The sequence below is a fragment of the Homo sapiens genome, chromosome 21, assembly GCF_000001405.40.
Source record: "Homo sapiens chromosome 21, GRCh38.p14 Primary Assembly".
NCBI lineage: Eukaryota > Metazoa > Chordata > Mammalia > Primates > Hominidae > Homo > Homo sapiens.
The window spans coordinates 34,833,414-34,861,191 of record NC_000021.9 but is presented as its reverse complement, the minus strand read 5'-3'; the positions used below and the strand labels follow the sequence as shown (position 1 = coordinate 34,861,191).

The 27,778-nt window shown below is 44.8% G+C and overlaps 1 protein-coding gene and 1 long non-coding RNA gene across 18 annotated transcripts in view, besides 1 other annotated feature; one reads left to right on the top strand and one right to left on the bottom strand.

Moving 5' to 3' along the window:
• RUNX1-AS1 (RUNX1 antisense RNA 1) overlaps positions 1 to 24,879 on the bottom strand; it is a 48,740-nt gene extending 23,861 nt beyond the window's left edge. Inside the window, exon 1 of the long non-coding RNA NR_186614.1 lies at positions 24,246 to 24,879. This is a non-coding gene — a long non-coding RNA (RUNX1 antisense RNA 1). The remainder of the gene's footprint in view (positions 1 to 24,245) is intronic.
• The window catches only part of RUNX1 (RUNX family transcription factor 1), a 261,502-nt gene that overhangs the window by 188,111 nt on the left and 45,613 nt on the right, over positions 1 to 27,778 (top strand). For 10 of the 17 annotated variants that reach the window (XM_011529767.3, NM_001754.5, XM_047441010.1 and 7 more), the window contains 2 exons: positions 1,614 to 1,718; positions 26,591 to 26,782. In XM_011529767.3, coding sequence (XP_011528069.1) covers positions 1,614 to 1,718; positions 26,591 to 26,782 — 297 coding nt within the window. The remainder of the gene's footprint in view (positions 1 to 1,613; positions 1,719 to 26,590; positions 26,783 to 27,778) is intronic. The other 7 variants (XM_011529768.3, XM_005261069.5, XM_047441015.1 and 4 more) reach the window with 1 other exon arrangement.
• Positions 24,196 to 25,395: an enhancer, noted in NCBI's record as "MED14-independent group 3 enhancer chr21:36208094-36209293 (GRCh37/hg19 assembly coordinates)". NCBI's record gives its function as "activates an origin of replication core promoter dependent on BRD2, BRD4, P300/CBP and CDK7 cofactors, and independent of MED14, by STARR-seq in HCT116 cells {active_cell/tissue: HCT116}" and the evidence as "EXISTENCE:reporter gene assay evidence [ECO:0000049][PMID:35650434]".

Genomic DNA, 27,778 nt, shown 5'->3' with positions numbered 1-27,778 from the left:
TGAACGATGTCCTAAAACTGGCAAATCCCCAAAGGCCAACAAGACTCGTCTCTAGGTTCTGGGGACAGGCCAGTTGATGGGAAAGATGGATTTGGAGGCAGAGTCTCCTGGCATCCCTGATGCTCTGCTCCATGGAAGTCACTCCCCAGAAGCATCCTCACCTCGTTTATTGGACAGGTCAGCTGAGACTTTAGTTATAAAGGCACAATGGGCAGAGCAGCCTTCATCATCTAATTGTTACTTGCTATTGCTCTTTTTATTATAGACTTTAATACAGATAGAATCCACATCTTTGGGGAGTGTTCGGTGGAGATTTCTCACGATTAGGAATCGTGGCTTGCTGTGGCCAAAGATTATATTTTCATTGAGCATTTTTCTGTGGCCTTCCTTTGTATTAAGACACGCATGACATTTGTTTTTCTGTGGCCTTCCTTTGTATTAAGACATGTGTGACAATTGAAAATATTTTCCTTTCATCTGTCTTTGATTTACTTTATGCTACATGATTAAGAGGAGAAACTATGTTGATTAAAGAACTACTGTATTGATGTAGGAAGATTGAACATCAGACTTAATCAAATGTTAGGGTCCTATTATAGACCCGTGAGAAACAGAGAAGAGAAATAAAGCAGACAACATACACACACACACACACACACACGCACAGACACACCCTGTTGAATACCGTGTGCCAGATAACTGTTTTAACAGGGTTACTCACGGTAAATCATTTAATCTCCCCTAAAACTCTCTAAGGTAGGAAAATTTGCATGTAACCATCTTCCTGGTAAGGATACTGAGGAACATAGAGGTGTCTAGTGACTTGCCAAAGGTCAGCTAGCCAGATTTATCTTCTGAATCACTTTACCAACAAGAAATGTTTTTAGATTAGTAAATCTATGCAATGAAGATTTTCTCACCTTTTATAAATATATGTAAAATGTGTAATGGAAATTTTGTGCATTTTTTATTACTAGTACTTATTGAATCTCAGTCTGTCAGTTACATATACTTAAGTCCATTTATGAGTCATCAATTTTATTCTGACTGATCCCATGAGTACCTCTAATAACATCTGGCATTTTCAAATAATATTTAAAATCAGCCAGACTTCGTCTTTTAAAAATATAGACAGAATGATTCTAATTTAGCCTGTTTTCAAACTTAGAAATTCTATCTTTCCTGATCTTCAAAGGTACAAAGTAAGAAGAGAAAGATGGATATGGTTTCTTCTACTCTTATTTGCCCTGAATTATAAATAATTGGGAAAGATGGGAGCAGGGAAGTTGGGAACCAGAAGTGGAGAGCTGCCAATCTGACTCTATGGTTTCCGGAAATCCTGACTTAACAGAAAATAAATTCTAATCTTTCTTGATCTTGTATTGTTTATTGATGATTACATTAAAGCCATATAACTATGTGAAGTGTTACACTTAGGCAACTATCATAGGTGTGTATTCCAGAATTGAAGCAAAGCCAAAATTCCGGGAGTGTTGTCAAAACTGGTAACTTGTGCTGAAGGGCTGGACAGCATAAATTAATGATTGGTTATTCAACAGATATGTTCAGGCCACCAACCTCATTCTGTTTTGTTCTCTATCGTGTCCCCACAGGGAAAAGCTTCACTCTGACCATCACTGTCTTCACAAACCCACCGCAAGTCGCCACCTACCACAGAGCCATCAAAATCACAGTGGATGGGCCCCGAGAACCTCGAAGTAAGTGCATCCACTTGGGGCTGGTACACCCTCCAGGCTGGTACACCCTCCAGGCTGGTATACTCAGGGACCATGTCTCAGATTCCTTGGGTTCAACCTTTCCCCCAGGGGGATGTCAGGCCCCCGTAAAGCCAAAAAGTTGCATTGTCAATACTCTCGCTACTCAAAGCTTGTTTCTGTGCACTGAGCTCTTTTTGAAGCATCCTTTTAGAGGGCAAAAGGAAATTAGGCTGACTGAATCATATGTTAGAACCATTCAGGGCAGCATGAAACTAAGGACTGCTTCCTCAATATACAGTAAAGTTCAACAGGATCAGAAACAAATAGTAAATGGAAGATTGGCCAGGCACAGAGGCAGCCCAAAGAGGTCTGAGGGTCAGAGTGGACCACAAGGGAGTAATTACCGTCTATGCTGGCCTTTTATTAATTCATGAGGGCCAGAGATGAAAACTATGAAAATGACCCTTTTCTTTCTATGGCACAGATCAAAATCTTATTACAGGCATTTTTAAGATAGAGAGTGGGAGGGTAGAAGAATGTCTGGGGAAAACCAGTAAATATAGAAAGATAGTACCAAAAAATAACTCCTGTGAGGGAAGCTTTTAAAAAAATGAGTGAGGTTGTTTAGTCTGCAGAAAAGATGTCTTCACAGTGACTTAATGACTATCTTTGAGTAAACACCAGAGTAACGCTCTTTTCCAGAACCACACCCTTCCCCAGGATCTGAGGCTGGGTTACAGTTCCAGGTCTGTGGAACTGCCCAGCACCCCCGCCCAGCATCCAGATGTCTCCAAACCGTATCAGGTCCCTGGTGGAAAATTAATATACTCTCTTCTTGGAGTGAGGGATATTGAAAAACAGGGCTTCCTACTGTCCCCAAAAGCCAAGATGCAGGGAGGTCAGGTTGTAAAATGAAGTGGTTAAGAATTTGGGCTTTATGGGCAAGCCAGTGGAATTCTTAAGCCTTCAGTGAGCTACAGAGCCTTGCTGAACCTCACTTTCCTCTTCTGTAAAATGGGGATAATAATGAGAGCTTCTTTATAAGATCAAGCCAAATGATGCTGTGTGCCTGATGCAGAGAATGAAGGCAGGAAATGTTAGTGATCCCCAGTAGGGCATCCCTGCTTTCATCCCTGGCTACTGCTCCAGTCCCCTCTAGATGACCTTCCCTGCATGGTGGTTTCTAGGTGGGGTTTTAAGGTAGTTCTCTGCAGGCTATCCTGTGATCACGGCAGCTTTTATGGCAGCCTTCCCTGTGGTCCTGGCCACAACCTCATGGCATCTGGGTCACCTTCTGGAACCATTCCCCAAGCTGCATCAACTTTCCCAAAGTCCTTGAGTGGATGGAGCTCTGCAAATAATCACCATGCCCACCAGGGGCAGGCCACCAGGATATGGTGTTCCTCGTCTGCTTTTTCCCTTCCTTCCATTTGCTGTGCTCGGTGACTCCCTCCAGATCTGACTGCATTTTTCCCCAGAGGGCCCTCTCAGCTTTTTCTGATCGAGACTTTCTGGCCATGCCTAGACTTGGGAGACTGTGGGACTTGATAACAGACCCTGATTCTTCTTTATGAGTGAAAAGCAGGCCATAGACACAGACAGGACCACACAGGTCTAAGGAATGACTGTGAGCTCTTCTTAGGTTTCCAGAGTAGGAATGTCAACCTGGACATTCCTACGTTAATGTAACCCTGCATTAAACAGAACATAAACACCAAAGCAAGTTTGTTCTCCACAGAGGACCAAAGAGGAAGCAGGCTTGAATTATGGCAAGGGGCCTGGCTGGGAGGGAGGCAGTTGTTAGGTATAAGAAAATCGACTTTGAGGGTGACTAAACTTAGAGAAATGCTCCTTCAGGAGGCTGTAGAACCACTGTATTTAGAACTAGAAGCAACAGCCGTCTCTGGGACAGTTGAAATGCCGACCAGCCTGAAGAAGCCGAAGCCAGGTGACCCTGGGTATACCCTCTACTTCTCTTATTTCCTCATGCATAAAGAAGGCTGGGTTTTGCCTCACTGCCAGCATTTCCTGTAACATTCAAAGAAATAACAAAGTTATTGAGCTTCAGAAAACAAATGGTGGCGACTCTGACTTTTAAGAATTGGCAGTCAGAGGGGAAAAAAGATGTCTATGCGATTGTAACGGTCTGGCTGTATATACAGTTTACTCTGCCCCTGCTGTTTTACAACTTAAGAAAACAGTTGTTATATGGAGAAGCACCCTCTGAGCAGACAGAAGGGATTTGCGCCAAAGAAGCATCCATTTTTACACAGTCTTCCCTGCCAAATGGAATTTGGGGCCTGGGGAAAAACTAAATGCGTGGAATAAGTATAAGTATGATATATAGAGGTGCAATAGCCCCAGGTAGAAAGTCTCACATTTTACAAGGGACTTCTAGAAAAAAGCCAAGTGCATGCAGACTCCCAGGTTGACTTGGGTAATGCTGACTTTTCTATTTGCCCTGTGAAGCAAGAGGGGCCATCACTGCTAATTTTAGTATGCTGGTTTCTTATGGTTTGAACGTCTTCATTCAGGGTGGGAACTTTCTATAGTAAGCTTTGCTCACAGTTGCTTTCCAGTGTAACATAAAGAGAGGACACTGCATGTAAATCAGGATGCCCAGATGTTGCCAGATCTCTGGATGAATAAGACCTCCCGAGTCCCCTCCATGATTATGGTGCAATGAATTCTGGGAAATCCTGGCAAAATGGCCCTGGCATTGCCAAGGTCAAATTGAATCATTTTGGAAAATTCTCTAGTTTCATAAAATCAAAGACAATGAGAGCTAGGAGGGGCCTGAGAAGAGCCTTTAGGATCATCACCCCATAGGTAAGGGAAAATAGCCCCAGAAAAATGAAACGGTTTGCCTAGCTTTAAAAGAGATAGTTGATGATGAAGCGTTAACAGAATGAGGAGTTCCTGATGTCTACTTCTGTGCTGTCCTTCATTTATCTACCTGTCCATTCATCTGTTCATCTCTCTATCCATACCATACTGTCTGTACATCATCTATTTCTTTCTTATAGACTCTTTGACCTGGCCTCGGTATCCTCACATTTAAAATGAGGAGTTGGCTTATATGATTGGCTGGCATATTTGGCTCATCTCGAAGACTGTCTATTATAGAAGGGCAAATGGTAGTGCCTCATTGCAGGTGTGGAGCCTTTGACTTGAGGTATGCGTGCAAGCTTAACTAAATAAAGCAGTTATCTGGCATTTGGAGGGACAAACTGCCATTCAACCTGCCATTCCGCTGACTAAGTTAAGGACTGAGAATGAGAAGCTGTGCCACAGCTCGTCTGTTTTTCATGCCGACGGGTAAACTTGATGCATCCCTCCCCTCTTCCAGGGTTTTCAGTGGTGAAGCTGTAGCCAAAAGTATACGCCAAAGGGAATTTAAAGTGTTTTTCGTTTCAGATGGTTTCTTGCTCTTTTACAGTAATGGACCTGCCCCTTAGAAAATCAAAACTTGTTTTTCTCATATTCCATAGGATTTTAAGAAATATCTTAGAGTAATATAGAAATTATTAATTGTTGAAAAATTAACTTTATCATGGAGCAAGAGCACCATCAAAAGGTATCCTCTGCCTGGAATGGGTTCTTACCAGCACCAAGGTGGGCTCTGTTTTCGGTTAGCACGTAGAGCACTTAGTAGCTTGTTGATATACTGAGAGTGTCTCCTCCTTAAGCACAAAAGATAGAGCGAAAGGATTTTTCAAGAAAAGGATATTTGAGAGTTTTTTGTTTGTTTGTTTGTTTGTTTTTGAGACAGAGTCTCACTCTGTTGCCCAGGCTGGGGTGCAGTGGCACAATCTCGGCTCACTGCAACCTCTGCCCCACTCCCAGGTTCAAGCGATTCTCCCGCCTCAGCCTCTGGAGGAGCTGGGACTACAGATGCCCACAACCACTCCCAGCTAATTTTTGTATTTTTAGTAGAGACGGGGTTTCACCATGTTGGCCAGCCTGGTCTCGAACTCCTGACCTCAAGTGATCTGCCCACCTTGGCTTCCCAAAGTGCTGGGATTGCAGGCATGAGCTACTACGAATGGCTGAGAGTTGTTTTTTTAATGTATGTTTTATATTTCTAGGATCTAATGAAAAACTCCAGCTCTCAGCTCACAAATCTGTAATTTAGGTGTCTCTATGCTAATATTGAGATCCCAAAGCATCTTCTCTACAGAGATTTCATTAAATAATTTCAATGCAGGAATTGGTTCAATGCCATGGAGGAAGATATTTTGCCAAGGAGAGGTTGAGGAGAGTGAGCAGTGGGGACCCTAACTGACCCGTCTTGGGGGGCTGGTCCTGGTGGTATGGATTGGGCAGCCTTTACCTGTCTGGTCAGGTGTTTGTTACGTCTGGAACATTGAGAAACTAAATTAAAAATCAAAAAGGTTAATTAACGTATTGGCCATTTCTGAGATAACTTCTGTCTGTCCCCAGGTTAAAGGAGTCTTTCACGTGACTGTGTTCTGCTTGAGCTCTTGATTTTTTTGTTTGTTTGTTTAATTAAATATAGTTATTTCTATTTTAAAAGTGAAAGAGCTGGCTGTAATTTTGGAAAGGTGTAACCCAGCAGATGCCGGGAAGTACAAACCTGGAGGGAAGGACAGGCCTCTGCAGCTGCCCCCCTCCTCACAGGCAAGGATGACCATGTCTAGAGCTCACGGGATTCCTTTTGGGTGGAGGCAGCGTTGCCTCTGCTCTCTGGGCAGCCCGTCCTTGAGGACCAGGCTGTTAACGTAGAGTCTTGTGATGTGGTCTGTTTAAGGGTGGGGCTTCTAGCATCCATACATCAGGTGACATCTGGGATACTGGCTTAGAGGGCAGCTAGGGAGTAAGGTAAAATGTGCAGCTTTCTTTTTTCTTTTTTTTTTTCTTTTTTTTTTGAGGTGAAATCTCACTCTGTTGCCCATGCTGGAGTGCAGTGGTGCGATCTTGGCTCACTGCAACCTCCGCCTTCCAGGTTCTAGCGAGTCTCCTGCCTCAGCCTCCTGAGTAGTTGGGATTATAGGCATCCACCACCATGCCCGGCTAATTTTTTAATTTTTTTCATAGAGATGGTAAGGTGGAGCCATTACTTACAAACTGTAGAGTGCTTCCTGAGGCACTAGCTTTCTTTCTGTCTGATTTTTGTTTTTAGAGGGAGTTATAGTTAAAATAGGTTGATCAAAGGGCCTAATCTTCACTCAGCTACTTTTTAAAGTACTTGGTTGAGATCATGTCATATGAGTATAATTCTTCTATGACTTTGAGTGTGTATAGCAAACCTATTATATATGTGAACATGAGAAATAGGATCTTTATATATGGAGAATGTGCTTCAAGTGAAGAAGAGAAATGCATGAAAAGTACCTATGGGCCAGGCGCAGTGGCTCCCGCCTGTAATCCCAGCACTTTGGGAGGCCAATGCGGGCGGCTCACTTGAGGTCAGGAGTTGGAGACCAGCCTGGCCAACACAGGAAAACCCCATCTCTACCAGAAAATACAAAAATCGGCCTGGTGTGGTGGTACACGCCTGTAGTCCCAGCTCCTCAGGAGGCTGAGGCAGGAGAATCGGTTGAACCCAGGAGGCGGAAGTTGCAGTGAGCCGAGATGGTGCCACTGTACTCCAGCCTGGGTGACAGAGTGAGACCTTGTCTCAAAAAAAAAAAAAAATGAAGGAAGGAAGGGAAGGAAGGGAAGGAACCAACCTGTAAACTGGTGGTGATAATGGACCTAAAAATAATTGCTCTTAGGATTGAGTAACACCTAGTTCACATTGTTATTTTCTCTTAATCATAAAAATACTCGATAATAGCAATAGCTAACATTAAATAGTGTTATTTGCCCAACACTGTTCACAGTGCTTCACGCATATTAATTTATATAATCTTCAAAAGAACAGGCAGGGAAATTGAAGAAAAAATAAATCGTATACCTTGCCCAAAGTCACGCAACTAGTAAGCCAGCATGTAAACTAAGGCGTCCAGATGCTGGCACGCACCGATGCCAGGGTCTGTTTTTAAGAACTGCACTGGCCGCTTTTTGAGCTTCATGGTAATGTAATTCCTGTATTTTTTATTGGGAGAGTTTATCAGTAAAGTTCTGGGTCACATACAGTTTTCTTCAAGAAAGCAGAGCCCTGTTGCTTTGGCATTCATCATTTTTTTTGTACTGACAGGAGGGAATCAGTGTTTTCCCCGGCAGGGCTGCAGGAAGTACCCTCCCCTCCCACACCTCCCCAGAGTTCATAATACACAGCCATGGCCATGCTGGTCACAGGTGCCAGCAGTTGGTTCTGCTTCTGTCACCAGGGTCCACTTGGGGACCTGGCATGAAGGGGGACCTGACCCCGGGGTGTTGTACAACATAGACCTCTTCTTCCGGTGTTGGCCTTCACGAAAGATGGGTAAAGTGGAGTGACCTGCAGAGTAGTGGTCCAAGTCTGGGTCCCCCTTTAACAAAGGGTTTCGTGGAGGGCCCGTGTGCACAGCACGTAGCCGCCGGGGGGATGAAAAGATGTGTCACTCTTTGCTCTTGAATGATTATGAAAATGTCAGATGGTTTTATGGATCTGTGATCTCAGGATTGTAATTACCAATCCACAATCGCATTGCTCACTGGGAATTGCTTCAAGCGTATTTTCCAGGTAGTGAATGATGAGCTACTTAATTCCTCTTCCCTTGAATTCATCAGATTTGGACTTGGACTTTAGTTCTTTCTAGATGCAATCCTGATCCACACAGGAATTAGAAAGTAATTCTTCCTCCCCTCCCACCTAAAGCAGGAGCAAGGCAGAGGCTCAAAGAGGAGGAAAATGCTGTCGTGACTCACATCCCCTCCTCCCCACTTTGAAAGGCATTTCAGGCCAAGCTGAAAGTTCTGGGGGAACTTCCCCCTGGTACTTTTAATTCCTTCTGTGTTAAGCTCCTCAACTACCTGATGACTTGGCAAAGGCAGTTTTTAAAGCATTAATAATAATCGTGCCTAAATGTTTCCAGCGAATTTTAGAATGTCTTTCTGTTGAATATTTTTAGTAGTATCAAACCAGTCCAAGAAGAAGAATTTTACATGCATACAGACTTCCTTGACCCTAGAGTGGAGGTTAAGGTCTGAAAGGGCCCCTGGGGTGAATGGGAACCTAAGAGGACCGTGAAGGGAATGGGCTTCTGTCCCAGAAGCGGCAGTAACCCACCTGGTGCAGCTCTGAGTGAGCTGGCGTGGCCTGTGTATTCTTGGTAACTTTTCCTGTCTTATACAGAAACCACTGAGGTTTTTTGTGTGTGGTTGTTGTTTTGTTTTGTTTTGTTTTGTTTTGTTTTTTGAGACAGAGTCTTGCTCTTTCGCCCAGGCTGGAGTGCAGTGGCGCCATCTCAGCTCACTGCAACCTCCACCTCCTGGGTTCAAGCAATTTTCCTGCCTCAGCCTCCCGAGTAGCTGGGACTACAGGTGTGTGCCACCACGCCCGGCTAATTTTTTGTATTTTTAGTAGAGATGGGGTTTCACTGTGTTAGCCAGGATGGTCTCCATCTCCTGACCTCAGCTGATCCACCCGCCTTGGCCTCCCAAAGTGCTGGGATTAAAGGCATGAGCCACTGTGCTTGGCCACCACTGAGATTTTCTAAGATGGCATTTGTATTGCTATAGAAAGAAAACAAAATAAGAGTTCCTTCCAGGTAATGTGAAAACCCAAAGAGATGATCTAGGCACCTTCTCAATCCAATGTGGGAGCAGAGAAGAGGGAAGAAACTTACACCATTACATTGAATTTCTCTTTCCGTCTGGACCCTCGCAAAACCATATCACTAATTTGAATGCCACACCAGTGAGGTCAGGATCTAAACTAATATATTGCAGTCCTTGTTAGAATTCATTGTATGACATGCCATAAGAAAAAAAAAACCCTGTCTGCATTTAGGCTTCTGTTTCTTAAGCTTCAAACATGTAAAAAGTTTTCTGGATCCTGAATTTAGGGACCTGGGTTTTCACACTGGTGCCACCAGGCCAGTGGGTGTGAACTTGAGCAATTATCTTAAATACTTTCGTCTTCATTTTCCTCTCCTGTTGAACCAGGCAATGGGACGAGATAATCTCTAAATTAGTTCTCATGCAAAAAGGGTAACAAAATATGGTCAGCAAAATAAAGCCGTAAGTTCGTTCCCGTAAACTGGCCCCTTAGAGGCCGAGGCCTCCAGGCCTTCCCTGGGCAGTGCCATCCTAAATCACATCAGGCAAATCCACATGCACTCAGGTGGTACATGAGATAGACGTCGTTTTTTTGCTGTAAAGTTTTTAAAGGGCTTTCTAATTTGTTCTGAAATTCTCTGGCTGTAAGTGGCTGCCCTGCCTTCTCTGCCACCAACATGTAATCAAGACTAGGGGTTGAGGTCTCCATTTTGGCACTTGCTAACACTATGAGAGCCGATTCCTGGGGGAGCAGCTGGTCTGACTGAGCCTCTCCAAAACGGGGACAGTTGGTAGTACCACCGTCACATCACTGGAAGGCTGAATGCAGCAGCCTCTGTGGCTTAGAACCATGCCTGGCACACAATACATACTCAAAAGAGGACAGGTATAATTCAGATTTAGTCTTGAAATCCTTCTGGAAATGAGAAAACTTTAACCAAAAAAGATCTGTGGCTCCTAAATTTAAAAATTCATGAAGTTGCCATAATGGTACACTTTTTTTTTTACATTTAATTAAACATTTATAAATTTTGATTTATTTTTCTGGATTTCGTTTTGTGTTGAGACCCAGTAAAATTTCTTTTCTAGTATAGCATGGGCCCTGGAAACACTCTGGGCACTGTTCCTAAGTCACTAACGGGTGAAATGGCCTTGCCCCCAAATGTTGCACTTTGTGAAAAAGTCAGAAAGAAAAGTCACGTGTGGGTGACATCAAACATCAGTGCTTAAGATCTAACACATGGGTCCTGTTCAGTAGAGGCATGACACAGCTGCAGAAGTCTCCACACTGTCCTAGAAACGTGACGTGTAATGTAGCAGGTGTCTTGGGGTCGGAATTCTTGTACTAGGCAAATGCAGTGTGTCTCCCAAGCGTGCCTGGGATCTCTCCCCGCAGCCAAGCTTTGCAAGCACATAAACATGGCCGGCCACCCACTGAGTTTCCTAAATCAGTGACCAGCACTGGAGACCCTTCCATGTGTGCAAGGCAGCTCCGCCTGCTGCCTGTGTCCTTTGGGGGTCTGATGGGGCAGCCCCAGTCTGAGATGGTCAGGCCTTGTCATTGGGTGCACGTCTCCCATGGGGATGGATGGACCCACAGCTTTCAGATGGATTGCGGTTGGCAGTCACAGCATCCCAGCACATTAAAATACATCAACTCCTGTGCTTTCAGGTAGATTTAGAATTTTTCTCATACCCTAGCCACTTTCCATTTTTCATTTTGAAAAATTTCTCCTTGAGTTTTCTCAAAGGCTTCAGTTTTTTTTGTTGTTGTTGTTTTTTCCTGTAAGCCATGTAACTAGGAAAGGCATTAGTAAGAATTTGATACACTGGGTCTCATGGAACTCCACTACTACCACCAAAATAATAATAGTAATAATAATAATAATAATTCCAGTTTAGCTTAAATAAGTAAAAGCTACCCCCTTACACCATATCTGCATTTAAATTCATTTGAGCTGATAGGCAATTTCTGTGTTCTCCTGTTCATCGCATATTCTTTTCCTTTAAAGGCAACTTTTAGAGAAGGTTTGCTTTTTTTTGCTATCAAAGTATTAATTATGAAAAGTTGGCAATACAGAAAGGGTAAATTAGGTATAATCTATTACCGTACATTATGGCTATATTATCAGACATATCACAAGCCAGTGACATTTAGTTGGATGTGAAATTCCTTTTTTATAGTATGATTGACACATGGTATATTTTCATCAACTTCTATGTGTAAATTATGCCGTGTCACTGGTAAAATTTGCTGTCATGAATAGCCAAATATTCTGGATTCACATTCATAGGTGAAAGCCAAGCTAATATATATATATATAATATATATTATATATATACTATATATTATAATATATAGTATATATATAATATATATACTATATAATATATTATATATAGTATAATATATTATATATACTATGTATATAGTATATATAATATATTATATATACTATATATAATATATATAGTATATATAATATATATATAATATATATTATATATTTTATATATAATATATATTATATATATATTATATATATATATATGTACCCAAAGCAAAGTTCTTTTCTGTTTGCCTTTTCAAAAAGTAACACAATGGAATCAATCTGCCAACTCTCAAGACCCCTAGAAAGTTATTTAAAGGCAGTACATTGGTTTGGTACTTTCATGATATACATATACTTAGTTTCCATTAAAGCAATTATTGACAAAAACCCAGACTGCTATTGAAATCTTTCAGTGTACTTCCATATACTGAAATGTCGAACATTTGATACTTGTTTGATTTTGTATTTGTTTTTGTTCACCATGGCTTAAAAGTCATATTCTGATTATTTAAAATAAAGAGTAAACATTTGAAATAAGTTCCTAGATACTACATAGATTTATGGCCCTTTGAATATTTTCCTGGTACCACCTTATTTTCACTTACCTTTGAAGTGGTTGTATGATATTTCCAGTTCATTCATTTGAAAGAGCTAGGAGAAATATGCGGAGCCACGTCCCACGCGCCTCTCGGACACTACTCGCCAGGCATAGCCCAGTGTTTCAAAAGTGAACCAGGGGGCTGGGCGCGGTAGCTCACGCCTGTAATCCCAGCACTTTGGAAGCCCGAGGTGGGCCGATTACCTGAGGTCAGGAGTTCGAGACCAGCCTGGCCAACATGGTGAAACCCCGTCTCTACTAAAAATACAAAAATTAGCCGGGCATGGTGGCAGGCGCCTATAATCCCAGCTACTCGGGATGCTGAGGCAGGAGAATCACTTGAACTCGAGAGGCAGAGGTTGCTGTGAGCCGAGATTGCTCCACTGCACTCCAGCCTGGGTGACAGAGTGAGACTCTGTCTCAAAAAATAAAGTGAACCAGGGTGCTCAGGTAGCCTCGGTGAGCGAGAAAGGAGTTTGGAGCTTCAAGTCTAAAACTGCGTTTCACAGTTTTCCCATCTGTAGAATGGACTGCATGATACCTCTCTTGCTAGGGGATGTGAGGATTAAAAGAGATAGCCTGAAAGGCGAGCTGGAGCAGTGGCTGATGGCGAAGCTCCAGAGCTGGCTTCCTGATTCAGCCTGGCCTCCCCTTCGGGATCAGATTAACCTCCCCACCCTCAGCCTCCTTGGGTATAAAACCAGGAGTATGATATCCCTCTGTTGGGGATTATTGTGCGGATTGAATAAAATAATTCATGTTAGGGCATAGCACCGTGCTGGGCACAGAAGTGTTCCTTAAATATTAGCTGCTATTATTAAAGCACATGCTCTAGACGGGTAGGCCCCTTGACCATGTCCCAAAGACCTTATGAGAGGAAACAAATGGAATTCTGTTCAAGTGGGGGCCAAATATTTACCATTGCCAAGTACTTAAAAAAAAAGAAGAAAAAAAAAAGCTTGGCAGATTTGGCCCTCACAATACAGTACAATAAGGGCTTTTTCTCTTTTCCTTCCATACTACCTATTATTAATTCCAATTACTGCATCACTGAACTGGCTTCAACAAATGTATTCCTCATTGAAACATAACCCTGTCAACCATGTTGCCCTACTTCCTTGAGGGAGAGGTGATCTTTTTCCAATTAAAGGTTTTATCAAAATGCAGTTCTGCTTCTTAACATGAAGCACCTATGCTGTTGTGTGACCTGCAAAGCTCTGAGCATCTAGAAGCTTCCCCTGGGTCATCTATAAGATGGGAATAATACTATGAGTTCTGCCTACTGCACAGGGTTCTTGAGGACACATTGAGATAATATATATCAATGTGCTTTTTAAGTAGTCTGTCAATTAGATAATATAAATATAATTAGATAATTAAAAAATAGAAAATCTATTATTGTTTTGCATGTACTATATTAAAATCTTAGGGATTTTAAATAAAATTAATTGATTTATTGAAAGTAGATATTATCTCGTCGTGTCTTTCAGGATTGGTGAGAAGAAATTAAAGAGAAAAAATTTAAACATTTAAATCAGACCCCACTGTGAATCCATACTTTTAGAAATTTTACCTTTTTCCATTCACATATCTTAATGTTTTCTCTACCTACAACTAGATACCCTTTTTAAATGTTGGAAACAAAAGAAGTAACCTTGGCAAATAGTTGAGAACTGAGTTTTATATGAATATACTTTTCTCTTGCAAGACCAAATACAGTTTTTCTTCTAAAACTCTGTTATTCCATTTTCTTTCAATGAAATGCTCACAGAACCAGAAGGCTTGGGAAGAGGCTCAGAGCACCTAAGAGTTGCTGAGTCCGTATTCCTTTTTTCCCCTGTGGCTTTTTATATATGCTGCTCGCCTGAGATTTCTGGATTTGATTTCAGGGAGGTGAAATGTTACACCCCTGAGTCTCAGTGCCAGTTTCCCAGGACGAGTCAAAAACTGCAGCTGCTTGGAGGTGAGAATCTTCCAAGGCTCCAGAGGCCAGCTCGCTGTCCTGTTCATTTGCTGACATGCTGCCGGGAGCAGCTTCAGAGAAACCCGTTCTATTCTTCGGGTGATTCAGCCAGTCTCAAAATAAATAGGTAGCTGAGTGCAGGGAGAAAGAACTGGAAACCACTGAAATTTGAGTCTTGAGGGCTGGTCTGTTCTCGGGAGCTGCTCTGTTGAACTCTAAAAGGAATCTTGAGCCCTGGGCGAGGGAGTGGCCTGACCTGGTGGAAAGACTGCGGGCCTGCCCGTGGAGTCTATGTCTGGCCCTGCTAGCTCAGTCAATCTCAGCAGCTCATGTCTCCTCTTAGACCCTCAGATTCCTCATCTACAGAAGGAGAAAGAAGAGGAGATTGAATGATTTTTAAGGTCTTTATCAGCTTCTAAAAGTTTGATTTGATGGTTGTAGGAGCAATTGTTCTTTCAAAGCACCATCTTCTAACCTCAGGAAGGAAAGCCCAGGGGCCCCTGGGATGTCCTGCCAAACTGGGAAGACAAAGATTGTGACTGAGAAGGTGGGGGCAGGGCAGGAGAAGGGGGAAGAAGGGAGAATGGATCAACCCCAGGCCGGGGAAAGAGATGAATGAAGGTCCACGCCAGAGTGACATGCTCTAAGTAGGGGAAATCTTCCTAACTAGAGTTCCCATGACTTTGGCAACATTTGAAAAAAAAAAAAAAAAAAAAAGACATCCTTAAACCCACAAAGTACTCAATTGTCCAAGCCCCATTATGGCCAACTTCCCAAAGCTGGCTGGTCAGAGACCTTGGTGTTAATTCCTCAGCCAACTAAAAAAAGATGGTGTGAGTTCTGTTGACTTAATTGTTGGAGTGTTTCTGAGTGGGGCCGCCTCCCTCCTCTGCCTCCTCACAGTATTATGGGCTATTCTGCATTACCTGCCCTACCTATCTTCATAATCTAGCCGCAAACAGCTTTGGTTGACCACACCACTTCCCTATTGAAAGTTAATACTGTTTGACTCATTCTGTGTTACTAACCTGAAGCCAAAGAAAACAAGGCAGAGAATAACTGGCTTGTGTGGAGTTTGGAAAGCTCTTGGAGGCCCTGCTTTCAAAATCCTATACAGTAGCTTTACTATATCTCTCCGCTGCAGCTGCTGAGAAAATGAAGGAAGCAGAAGTGGTTAAAAAAAAAAGTTGGGGGTGGGGAAGAGACTGGGAAGGGAGTGGGGCGGGGTCCCCCTCCGGCTGGGAAAAGACAGGGTAATCTGCGGCAGTTTATGAGGGCTGTCTCCCTGAGCTGAGGTCTTGCTTTCACACACCAGAGTGTTCACACAGAAGAGGGACTGTTGAAGGAGTTAAAAGGAGAGGAAAGTTCAAAACAGTTGTTGAAAAGGCAGCTCTCCTATTGCCTGCGTAACACAGAGGAGCTGGGAGGCTGGTCTCACCAGGCCAGGCAGCCATAGGCAGAGACTCAAGGTAGACAGGCCAGGGGGAAGTTGTGTACCTTTCGAATCGGGAAAGGATTGAGGAGGGGGAATGTTGCCGGACAGAAGGCTGTCCTGGGCGTCCATCCTTGCCCTCCATCCCTGTCTCCATCCCTGGCAAGGATGGAACCTTCCCTTCCTTCATTTCCTAACTGGCTCAAATGTGGTCACCAAGGTGAATAGGAGGCACTAGTGTCTTGGAATAAACAGAACTTTCCCTCCCAATGTTACCTGGCAGACAGTGGGACCAGCATCTTCATCACCATGCTGTGCTCTGTGGGAGTCTAGGCAAACAGCCACTTGCCCATTCAGGTAACTTTAGAAGAGGTCTCCCTCCTCACAGATGCCCTTCTCAGCAGGTGGCTGCTTCTGGCACGTGGACAACAGTGCATAGAAGTGAGCCTGATGCCTGAATGAGGCTGTCATGACACAAACAACCGGAAGCCTTATTTGTGAGGGAGGGTCAACGTTCTGTTCAAAACAACTTGCTGCGGTTGGCTTTTGTACTAGTGAGTACTCAGGAGCTGTGAGTGGCCAGGGTACCCTGTCCTTCTGTACCAGCCAGGACCTGCTCAGCCATCTGTCCAAGGGCTTTGCAAGGCCAGCCTAGAACCTCAGTTGGCGTCTGTGACAGGAGAGAGCGTCAGAGTCAGATGCTGTTCCCCTGCTGTTGGGAAAGTCCCCGAGGCCCAGGGGGCAGGGCTTTTAGAAATAGGAGGGAATTTCCTTCCCTCTTTTTAGAAGTACAGAGGAGGAGAGATCATCCTCCACACTGCTGGATGAGCATTCCAGAATAAATCTAGTCCAGGAAAGGGGCTCACTCATTCATTCATTCACTCACTCACTCATTCATTTATTTGTCCAGCATTTATGGAGGCATCACCCAACCTTGGAAGGGCCCTGCCTTTACCTCGGTCCTGTCCAAACATGCTCAGTGTCTCTGCCCATTATGTATGAGATCTGCTGCTGCGGGAGGGGAACTGAGATTCCTGCAGGGAGGTTAGGAGGCCAGTGTGGAGAGCCTCAGTGCTGGTAACATGCTCACGCAAGCAGTGTGTGTGCGCCTCCTGGATCTTCTTCTCCTGGCCCCCAGGTCTTGCCTGTCTACCCCAGGACTAGCCCTGCTGATGCCTGAACTCCAAAGCCATGTCAGAAGCTCCAGGCAGCGTTCTGTGAGTCAGTGCTCATATCTCCATAGTGCGCCACCCGCCACCAATACTTTCTTTCTCTTCTGCAAGTCGCCTTCTCTTTAGAGTCTGTCCCTGGGCAGGAGCTACTCTGATCAACAAATCCATGTCACTGGTGGTTACCACTCTCTGGTTACTTTTCAGTTACGCTGTAACTGGGGGTTTCCTTGAGATAAGACCTTAACCTAGGGAGGGTTGCTAATATTTGGGATTATAGGCTGGTAGAAGAAGAAAAACCTTGAATTTGGGAGCTGTCTGCACCCTTCTTAAGAAACTGCCTCCACTTCCCCCACAGAGGGCTACCTCTGGTCAAGAGCAAAAGCCAGCAGGTGGCTTCTCTGCCCTGAGCTCAAGTTACCTCCTTAGTCACCAGACAGAAATGGACAGTGAGCCCTGGCGACCGGGGATGGCAGATTTAGATTTTGAGTGCTCTGCTTTTAGGAGAGGCCCGAGTCTCATGTGAGTGGGCGAAAAACTCCACTGCTCGTGGCAATGAGCCCTGGACTCAGGGAGCAGAGTTTTGTTTGGGTTTTTGTCCCGTGAGTCTTGGGCGCATGGTGCAGGGGGGCTGGGGAGGGGCAGGCCTGTGTGCGTCTCTGGCTTGAAGTTGTATTGGTTGTTGATCTTGCCTTGGCGTTGGCCAGCCTTTCCTGTCCATTGACTGTTGCTTGCTACACTTGTCTTGGCCCATGTCCTGAGGGCGATCACAGAACGGTGTGTGTGTGTGAGTGGATGTATGGATGTGTGATGGATGTATATGTATGTATGTGTATATGTGTGTATGTCAGTATGTGTGTATGTTTGTATATATGTGTCCCCATGTCTGTATATCTGCCTGTGTGTATATGCATGTGTGTCCCTGTGTGATATATGTATATGTGTGTGTGCGTCTGTATATATGTGTCTGTCCTGGTTTGTGTCTGTATGTGTATGTGTGTCTGTGCATGTCTTAATATATGTGTCTGTGTGACGTATGTACATGTGTCTGTGTGTATTTATATGTGTGTATCCCCATGTGTGTTTTATATCTGTGTGTGTGTCCAGGTGTCTGTGTATGTGTGTGTCTGTATGTGTTTACATGCATGCCTGTGTTTGTGTGTATATGTCCATGTGTGTCTGTATGTGTGTTTATACATGTGTGTCCATGTGTATCTATATTTTGTTTTGTTTTGTTTTTTGAGACAGAGTCTCGCTCTGTCGCTCAGGCTGGAGTGCACTGGCATGATCTTGGCTCATTGCAACTTCTGCCTCCTGGGTTCTAGCAATTCTTCTGCCTCAGCCACTTACTTGTAACTGGGACTACAGGCACGTGCCACCATGCCCGGCTACTTTTTGCATTTTTTAGTAGAGATGGGGTTTCACCATACTGGCTAGGCTGCTCTCGAACTCCTGACCTCATGATCTGTCCGCCTCAGCCTCCCAAAGTGCTGGGATTACAGGCATGAGCCACCGCGCCCAGCTGCATCTGTATGTTTTTATGTGTATGGCTGTGTCCGTGTGTATGTTTGTCCATGCATGTCTGTATGTGTGTATGTGTGTGCATGTGTGCCATCTGTGTTTTTGTATGTCTCTCTGTGTGTGCGTGTGAGAGGGTACTCACTACAAAGAAACAGGAGAAGCTGGTGGACTTTGCTTATGTCAGAGTGCCACTCTCAACTCAGCAAAAGAGCCTTTGACCTATTCTTTTTGATTTTTCACTATGAAAATAAATGAGTTTTCCTGATTGATTTAATTTTTTTTTTTTTTTTTTTTTTTGGAGAGGTCTCCCTCTGTCACCCAGTCTGGAGTGCAGTGGAGCGATCTTGGCTTACTACAGCCTCTACCTCCTGGGTTCAAGAGATTCTCCTGCCTCAGTCTCCCAAGTAGCTGGGACTACAGGTGCGCGCCACCATGCTTGGCTAATTTTTTTATATTTTTAGTGGAGATGGGGTTTCACAATGTTGGCCAGGCTGGTCTTGAACTCCTGACCTCAAGTGACCCGCCTGTGTCGGCCTCCCAGAGTGCTGGGATGAGCCATCAGGCCCGGACTGATTCAACTTCTAATGAGACAATTCTCATGAAACTGCTCAGTTATGATATTGTATTTTTTCTCAACAAGAAGTTTTTCTGTAGTTACATTTCAGCTGAAAACTTTAATTACAACTTCCTTCACCTGAAATGATTTCTGCTTTCCCACAACCTAGTGGAGGGTGATTGGACAGCACCAATCATGAAGGACCTGAGTACTCATTCATTCATTCAGCCAACATTAGTGAGCCTCCTAGGCTCCAGTTGGTTTTATAGGTGCTGGAGACATGGCTGTGCAGAAAAAATACAAAATCCCTGTCTTTGTAGACTTTACAGTCCCATGGGTGCAGACAGACCCTGGATAACATTAACATGTGCTATGGAGAAAACCTAAGCCAAAGGGCTAGGGACTGGCTGGATGTGGGATAGTCTGCAACTTAAAAGGGGATCTCCAGGAACTCCTCAGGGAGAAGATGACATTTCAGCAAATACTTGAAGGGTGGGAGGGATCAGGTCCACAGGGATCTCAGGGAAGAGCTTCCTGAGCAGAGGAAACAGTAAGTGCAAAGGCCCCAGGGCAGTGACACAGGGGCAAGAGCAAGGTGGCCACTGCTGCCGGAGCAAAGAGGGGAGCTCAACCTATCTGCCTTCTAGTTTCAAGTAGGAGGCATTTGCCTTAGAAAACAGGCTTAAGAAAATGCCACCTGACCTCAGGTGACATGACCTGTACTTCATGTCACCTGAGAGGCCACTGTAGGACCATGGTTCGGGAAGGCCCAGAGTAGGAAAGCCCCATACACAGGTGGACCCAGTGAGTGCTTGCTTTCCTGTTACCACCCACAAGAGTACAAAAGCTCTTTCCGACCAAAGGCTCTGCTATTCCTGCTGGTGATTCTCTGGGGCTAAAGCATCACCCCTCTAGAAATCGCTGAGTGGGTAAAAGGGATTCCTAGGAAGTGGAGGTATCCTAGGGGACTTGCCAGGATTCATCCACCTCTAAGAGGCTTAGGGGCATGAGCTAGAGGAACAGGGGCCTGCACAGGGAGTGTGGGCGGGGTGGGTGACAGGTACTCACCTAAGACTTATGTGCCTACTGCCACTGATGGAAAAGGTGGGCATTCAGGGCAGATGTCTCATTGTTTTCCAACCCAGACAAGAAGCTGGGAAATGAGAGCCTGGATGAGTGTTCCGCAGAGTGGCTTTCTTCCCAGGTGCAGCCTCTGACAACTTCCTAGCAAATTTTAAGGTGTGTTTAATGTCCCACTCCCTCTGGACTCAGCCTTGGGATGGTAGAGGGGGAGGGGTGAAAGCAGAATGGAATGTCCCAGTCAGTAGGGTAGCACGAAAGGCTCTGTGAAGGCTTAAGGGAGAGAGGAGGGCACCTTTGAATACTGAAGTCCAAGGTCACTCATAACTAACTGTCCAAAGGGTCACTGATGAAACAGCTGGAGGCAGAGGGAGAGTGAATTCTTAGGACACCTCGTGCAAAGCTGCTGACCCCCAGCACACAGAAAGATAGAGCAGGCCAGGTGGGATCGCAGGCTGGGCGACCTGGTGGGGATCAAGACAGAGCTCTGAGACCAACCTGACAGCTAGACTTGGCAGTGGCTCCCGCAGCCAGGTGTCTGCCTGAAAAAAGACAAAAGGGAAAACTTTGAAAGTCGTAACCTCATTAGAAGTTGTTCAAGAAAGACCGTGCTTAGAACCAGTTGAGTAGATAATGGCAGCAGATGTAATTGTTGTGGATGCTTTTAGAGTCCCTTGGAGTAATCCTTCTTAGTCTCTTAATTCCAGGCTTCCAGATACGGAGCCTCAGTGATGAAGAGACTTGTTCTTGTCCACAGCAAAGGTTGGTAGAAAAGCAGATTTAGAATGGAGAATTCTTAACGCCTACTCTAGCATTCACGTTTCCCTGGGACCATGTTGTTTCTCTAGAGGGGAGGAGGATTGTGGCATCTGCATTAACACCCGGTCCTGTGGGCACTCAGAGAACTTAACTGCTGCATTTGTGGAACGGAATAAAGGTTCCATGTAACCCTTCCCTGCCATTCCCCAAAGTCTTTCTATAGATGGCACAGCAGAAATTACTTCCTACTTGAGAATCTGGGGTTCACCTTAGCAATCAGACTGATTATCATGACAGTGACTCTGACAGAATGTGCCCAGTTATTGTAGGAGACAGAGACGGTCACACACCGGCCTATCTGCAGGGCAGAGTTTGGGCATTTTCAGCTGCTCTGTGTGTATTGAAGAGTTAAAAAAATGAAAAGACGGCCAAATAGTTATCACCAAAAGGAGGCCGTCAGTCATTGCTCATGAACACAGTCTAAACACAGTTCAGGCATATTTAGTTCGCGTGTTTCTCCCCAGCACACAGCAAATCAGAAGCAGGCAGGAGAAGGGAAGTAGTAATGCACATTGGAAGCTTGAGTATCAGGAGGAGCTCTCCCTCTCATGCAGATATTCCCAGCGTGCTCCCTGTATCGGCAGCCTCAGCATCACCTGGGACCTTATTAGAACTCCAAATTCTCAGGCCCTTCACCCTAGACCAACCTACCAAACTAGAATGCCCAGGTAATTCCATTGCCCACTCAAGCAGGTGAAACACAGCCTCACAGCCTGCAGGTCACAGTGTGGCTGGGGCTGTCTTCTGATTCTACACACACACTGGGAGCAGAAGTGAGATGGTTGAGGCAGAATGCAAAAGTTCAAGTGCTTTCGTGTCTCTGAGATCTAAAACTATGAAGCATTGTGCACTTCTCCACCCTGTTCGCTTTGAGTTCACAGAAATGTGTATTTCTAGGTGCACTGAGTGTACATCCCGAGTGTGTGTGTCGGTGGGTGTTGAATTTCTAGGCACACTGAGTGTACATCCCGAGTGTGTGTGTCGGTGAGTGTTGAATTTCTAGGTGCACTGAGTGTACATATCTGAGTGTGTGTGTCCGTGGGTGTTGAATTTCTAGGTGCACTGAGTGTACATTCCGAGTGTGTGTGTCGGTGGGTGTTGAGAGTGTGTGTGTTTTCAGACCTGCCCTCTTCCTGTAACTGGCCGTGTGAGATTGGGCAAATGACATAACCTCTCTGAACCTCACTTCCCACACATTAGTTAAAAACCAAGGCTGATTTCTGTGGCCATTCTCCAGTTCTGAAGTACTCCAACCTTGTGGTGTTGTCTTAGCTTAACGATATGAGAAGAAATTGGGGTGGGGGAAAGTGAGGCTACCCATAGTTACGTAGCACTGGACAATATATAAGCATGCATATATAATATGAATTAGAATGTATACTGACATACTATATACCATTATATAGTTTATATTATATAGTATATATAATATACATGTGGTATGGTAAATAATATTGAAGAATATTTCCCAACATTAAATTAGCCAGCATATGGTTAGGTTTGCAATTAGGGAGATTTATTTTACCATCTGCAAGGGGCTTCAGGAAGAGTCACATTCAGTACTGTCACTTTGAAATCCTAATGACCCTGCAACCTAAAGGTTAGACTGTGATACCAGGAAAAGTAAGCTGTTCTCTACACACATTGATTTCTTTTCCATTGTCATAAAACAGTAGCAAATCAAAGGAAGAAAACCCCATATTTTTATATCCAGATTCATGTAGTGAGTATCCAATTGACTGGCCAACATCTTCTGAAATACAGATATCCTTTTAAAATTGACTATATAAAATTCTTATATGCTTTTAGAAGAACCACAATTTTATACATGTATATACAGAGAGAAATATATCTTTTTGGTATTATGCTTTTGCATAGATTTGGCTCAACGGCTCATCATGACAGTCTTCTGAGTATATACCTTCCTCATTTTTCTGCTAAGAATCTATCAAGAAAACTAGTAAACCCATATCGGAAACATAGACTAATATGTTGTTGACTGCCAGAAAATTCTTTATTCTATCTAACCAAAATTTTCCAAGAAACGGTGGCAATTTAACCTTATCTGGTTTCTTTAATGGAAGATCATATATTACATTTATGTTACTTACAGCCACAGATCACAATGGTGTCTTGAAAAAGGCAGCTCGGTTATCAACGAGATATGCATACCTGCTCAGTTTATTTTGTATGGCAGAAAAGTGAAAGCTGGTCTCACTATCCGTCACAAAATATCATAACATTTAAGGATGGCCTAATGAGCAGCCAACCCCGAAAACAATAGGAATGCCTTTGGAATGAAGTAAAATTTTGCAAACGGCATTGACTTATTTTTATTATATACAATTTTTTCCCCTTTTTTGGATTTTTATGACTCTGCATACATAATAAAATTCCAAGCAAGTACTTTCATTTTTTTCAAAAATGAGAAAATGGTACTAGAAGAATTTAGGACCTTTTTCAACTCTGCTTAAGATTAAGATGTCCCAGGGTGAAATCTTGATGTGCCCACTACTTTAAAGCACCGCCCTGTAAACATTCACAGTTGATTCCAAACATGCTGAAGAAGCCAAGCTGCCAGCATGCAGGTGTTCAGAGCTGCATCCTGGTTCTACCCAAGGGCTTGACCCAGGGTCGAATTCCCTGTTGCCCTCTAAAGCCCGGTACTCAGTGAGAAAGAAGAAAAGTGAATTGGATAGTAGACATTTTCCATACTCCTCTATTTAACATTCGGGGGGCAAATGAGCCTTTTAACTGAACACAGATACAGGAAACTGAAGACATAAAGTATTCATTTTCCCCAGCTTGAAAGTTTATATCGGAAGTTCCTATATTTCATGCAAAATATTGCTATTTGGCACATGAGGTCTGATGGTTTCAGAAAGTAAGAATTAGATGTTCCTTCGATCTAGCTTGTAAGTGCATCCAAACCACACCCTGAATATGATAATGCTTCTCATTTCCCCTGTGCCTTGGTGTCACAGCTCTCCAGCACCATTGTGAGCCTGAGGGTCAAGACCCCTACCAAGGCAATAACGTTCCTACTGACTCCCAGGAACACACGTGGGGAGAGTGGAATGGGCTCTTCCCCAATCCTCCAGCATTAAACTCAGCCCTGAGACTCCCAGGGCTTAGAAAACAGCTTAGAGTGAAGAATTGTTTTCTCTGAGAGTTATGCCTGAACACTTCTGCTAAAGCAGACAGTCATCAGTTAATCTCTATAAATGACTACAATTTTGGCAGGTATCAGCTGGTATAGAAATTGCTCACAAGTTAAAGCTCTCATTTCTAAGTATATAGTAATGAGGGGGACTAATTAAAATAAAAAACAAAGAAACAAACAAACAAAAAATACCTCACGTTGTGCCTGACCACAGGACTGGCTTACCTGGAATGATGATTCCTGTTGGGTGTCTCCGTGGCACAGGTCCCCACGCTTGCTGGCTAAGAGAGACACAACTGCCAAGAGCTGTTTTTCCAAGCTGTGGCTGTAGACTCTACCACGTCAAGTGCTGTGTATTCAGAATGACCTCGCTCACATCACTCTCCTGGGTCACCCACTGTCCTTGACACAGTGTTCTTCAAAAATGCCACTAAGTGCCTGAGGAATGTGAAGTTTTGAAATGAGCACAAAACCTGCCGGCAGCCTTTGCCGACTGGCATTATTTCTGAGGCAGATAGAGCTCTCCACAATCATTGTTCCTGCCTTCTTCTTTACCCCAACTCGTAATGCCAGGCATTAGACTGTGGTAGGAGGTTAAAGGGCTGAGTTATTATGTTTTGAATGGTTGTTCCATTGGAATTGTTTGTTTTTCTGCAAGAAAACTGCAGATTTTTCAGTTTGATCATCAGGAAGCCAAGGATCTATGGCAGAGATAAGAGGAGGGAGGAGCTAAGGAAGGCTTCATCCAGAGGCACTGAGTCACACCATGGCTGACCAACACAGAGCGCTCTAGAAAAAAGACATTTTCATACTTCTGAGGGAAAGGGATGATGGGGGTTGCTGCAAGACCTGGCCCCATGGCCTTTCATCCACAAAGCCGGTGCTTAAAATACGCAGCCAAGAACAGGCCTCCCACATGCATGCTGAGCCTGCGTGACTCAGGCTGTTTGCGTTCAAGTCTCCTGTTGTGGGCTGGAGCGCTGAATCAGAGTCCAGATTTGCCTTGGTGACACATGACAAGAGGGGCCATTGCATTTGAACTACATAAATATTATGCTTAAGTGTTTTTCCTCATTTTGGAGCCAAACAGGTCTCGTTAATGATAAAATCACTGCAATATAGTGGGCCCTTTTTTTCTGGTCTGGAATTTGAGACAATGTCAACTGTGCCAAGGGGCCTGGCAGCAGGAAGAAATGGCCAGCCATGGAGATTTGCAGCCATCATGCAAGTTATACCATTTAATTTTATAATTGTAGCCATTGGGAGCTGGACTACAGTGCACTTCTCGTGGTCTGCTCTTACCCCAGGCTGCGGGAGTGGAATCAAGGGGGCCTCTTTCTAGTCTAGGATTGGGTCAGGGCATGTGAAATAGCACTTTATGGGGGCAGCGGGCAGGCTGTTTCTCAGTCTGGCTTTGGGGACATTTGGCAATAGGGAACAGAGGTTGTGCAATCGATCAAGGACTCTTTATTGGAACCATAAGGCTGAGGAAGCAGCAGGAGGCCATTGTCTTTAAAAGAGAAATGAATGGCCCAGGCCTCCTGTGGCTACCTCCCTACCTTGGAGCCTCAGCTTTGCACGACAGGACTGGCTCTGGTTTAAGGACATTTTGAGAAAACCGTAGGCCCCAGTCCCCCATGAGTGGCCTCTGCTTGCTGCTTCCTGGTGACGGTTGTTTTGGTGAAGAGCATGATGAGGACACTTGCTATCTATATAGACACTGAGGGGCCCACCATCCCACCCTATATAGACACTGAGGGGCCCATCATCCCATCCCACCAGTCCTGAGCCCCCTGGGGAAGCTCACCAGATAGGCTGTAGCTACCTCTGGGCTCCAGTGGGCCTATTCTGCTGGGAATATTGGACAAGACACAGGCGAGGCCTTCCTGTCAACTCCTCCTTAGGGGTACATGGGGGAGTCGGCTTCAGGGAAGAAGGAATGCTTGTGAAAAGCCTGTGAGGAGAGGGAGAGGGAGAGGGGCTGAGGGGCTGAGGATGCCCTGCGTGTACCTGGAAATGGGACCTCCCCAGAGGCTGTGGGTTTGCAGCCACGCCTCATTTCCTCTTGGAAGGGGCCCTACCACTAAGCTGCGGGGCCCACTTTGCCGCCTCTAAAACGTGCCAGTGGCTGGGTTTGCAGTAAGGAACAGCCGTTCTGATGCCCCTGGGAGGCCACCTTTCCTGGCTGCCACAGCATAGCCCCTGGCATGTGGCCATGTGCCAACAATTAATGCGCCTCTTTCCCTCCCGGCATCACCACCACCGCCAAGTTCTGTATCTCAGTGAGTTGTGCCCATTGGAAGTGGGTGTAGAGGGTTGGGGAGGGTGCCAAGGCCCAGACTGGGGGAGCACTCTGTGGCCGAGGCGGTGAAAGGGGGCCCATTCTGCTGAGAGGACAGTGGCCCCAAATTCAGCTGGCATATCTCTAGCGAGTCTATGTTGGGGTGAGGGGAGAGAGAGGGGAAAGACAAGAAAAGCCCCAGTTTTAGGAAATCCACAATACTTTTTCTGATCTCTTCCCTCCCTCCTTCCCTCCCCCCATCCCCTCCCCTCCCTGCTCCCCACAATAGGACATCGGCAGAAACTAGATGATCAGACCAAGCCCGGGAGCTTGTCCTTTTCCGAGCGGCTCAGTGAACTGGAGCAGCTGCGGCGCACAGCCATGAGGGTCAGCCCACACCACCCAGCCCCCACGCCCAACCCTCGTGCCTCCCTGAACCACTCCACTGCCTTTAACCCTCAGCCTCAGAGTCAGATGCAGGGTAAGTACCAGATGGAGCCCACTGCCCGCCTCTCCTGCACCTGGGCCACCACCCACAACTGGCCCCCATGTGCACACACCTTCCCAGACCAACTGGGGTTTCCCCTTGATGCTCAGAGAAAGGCCTCGAACCAACAGCACCACCTGGGAGCTGTTGGAAATGCAGAGTCTTGGGCCCCACCCACCCCAGACCCACCGAGTCAGATCTGCATTGTAACCAGATCCCCACAAGGAAAAGCACTGCTACAGAGGATACGAGGAGCTCTGGGTATGGATATCCATATTGGATAGATAGCTCTCTTGAATTTTTTAAGAGTTAGCTTTGGCTATGCTATTTTTTTACCTACCCATTAGGCTTGAAGACACACACGCAGACACACACACACACACACGTCAAGCAAAGTGAAGATGGGATGTTTCAAGTTCTCGCTATTGCCAGATTATTTGTGGGTTTTGTATCTAGTGTTTTTTTATTATTAAGAAATAGTTGAAATGTATGGATGTCATCACATCAAGGGTGTTATTTGCAAATCAATAGAGAATGCAGGTCCCCCCAGCCCATGGGGCTAGCTGGCAATTACTAAAGCGCTGTAAGATGCAATAATTGCCTAAGGCCCACTGTGCCAAATTAGATAATACAAGAAGTTCATTTACACTGTAGACCAGTGACGTCAATGACTGTTTGCTCTGTGATACCGTTTCAAAAATCCAAAATGCAGACTTTTCTCTGTGCCATGCAGGATGCAGCTGTGTGTGATATGGTTTACAGTAATATTTCTTTCTCAAAGTAGCAGGCTTGTTAAGGAAAAGATAAGCAACACATCTGGGGAAAAGGGCAGGTGGCCAGCAATCGATGTGGTAGCTCTTTGCCCCTCTCGGACAGCAGGAATTAGCTTCCCCAGGCATTTTCTGTATGTGAGTTGTATTGTGGGATGTACAAATATCATCTGTTCCTTTGGGTTTCCAGGCCAGTAGCTCTCTATTTTGGGTTCAAACA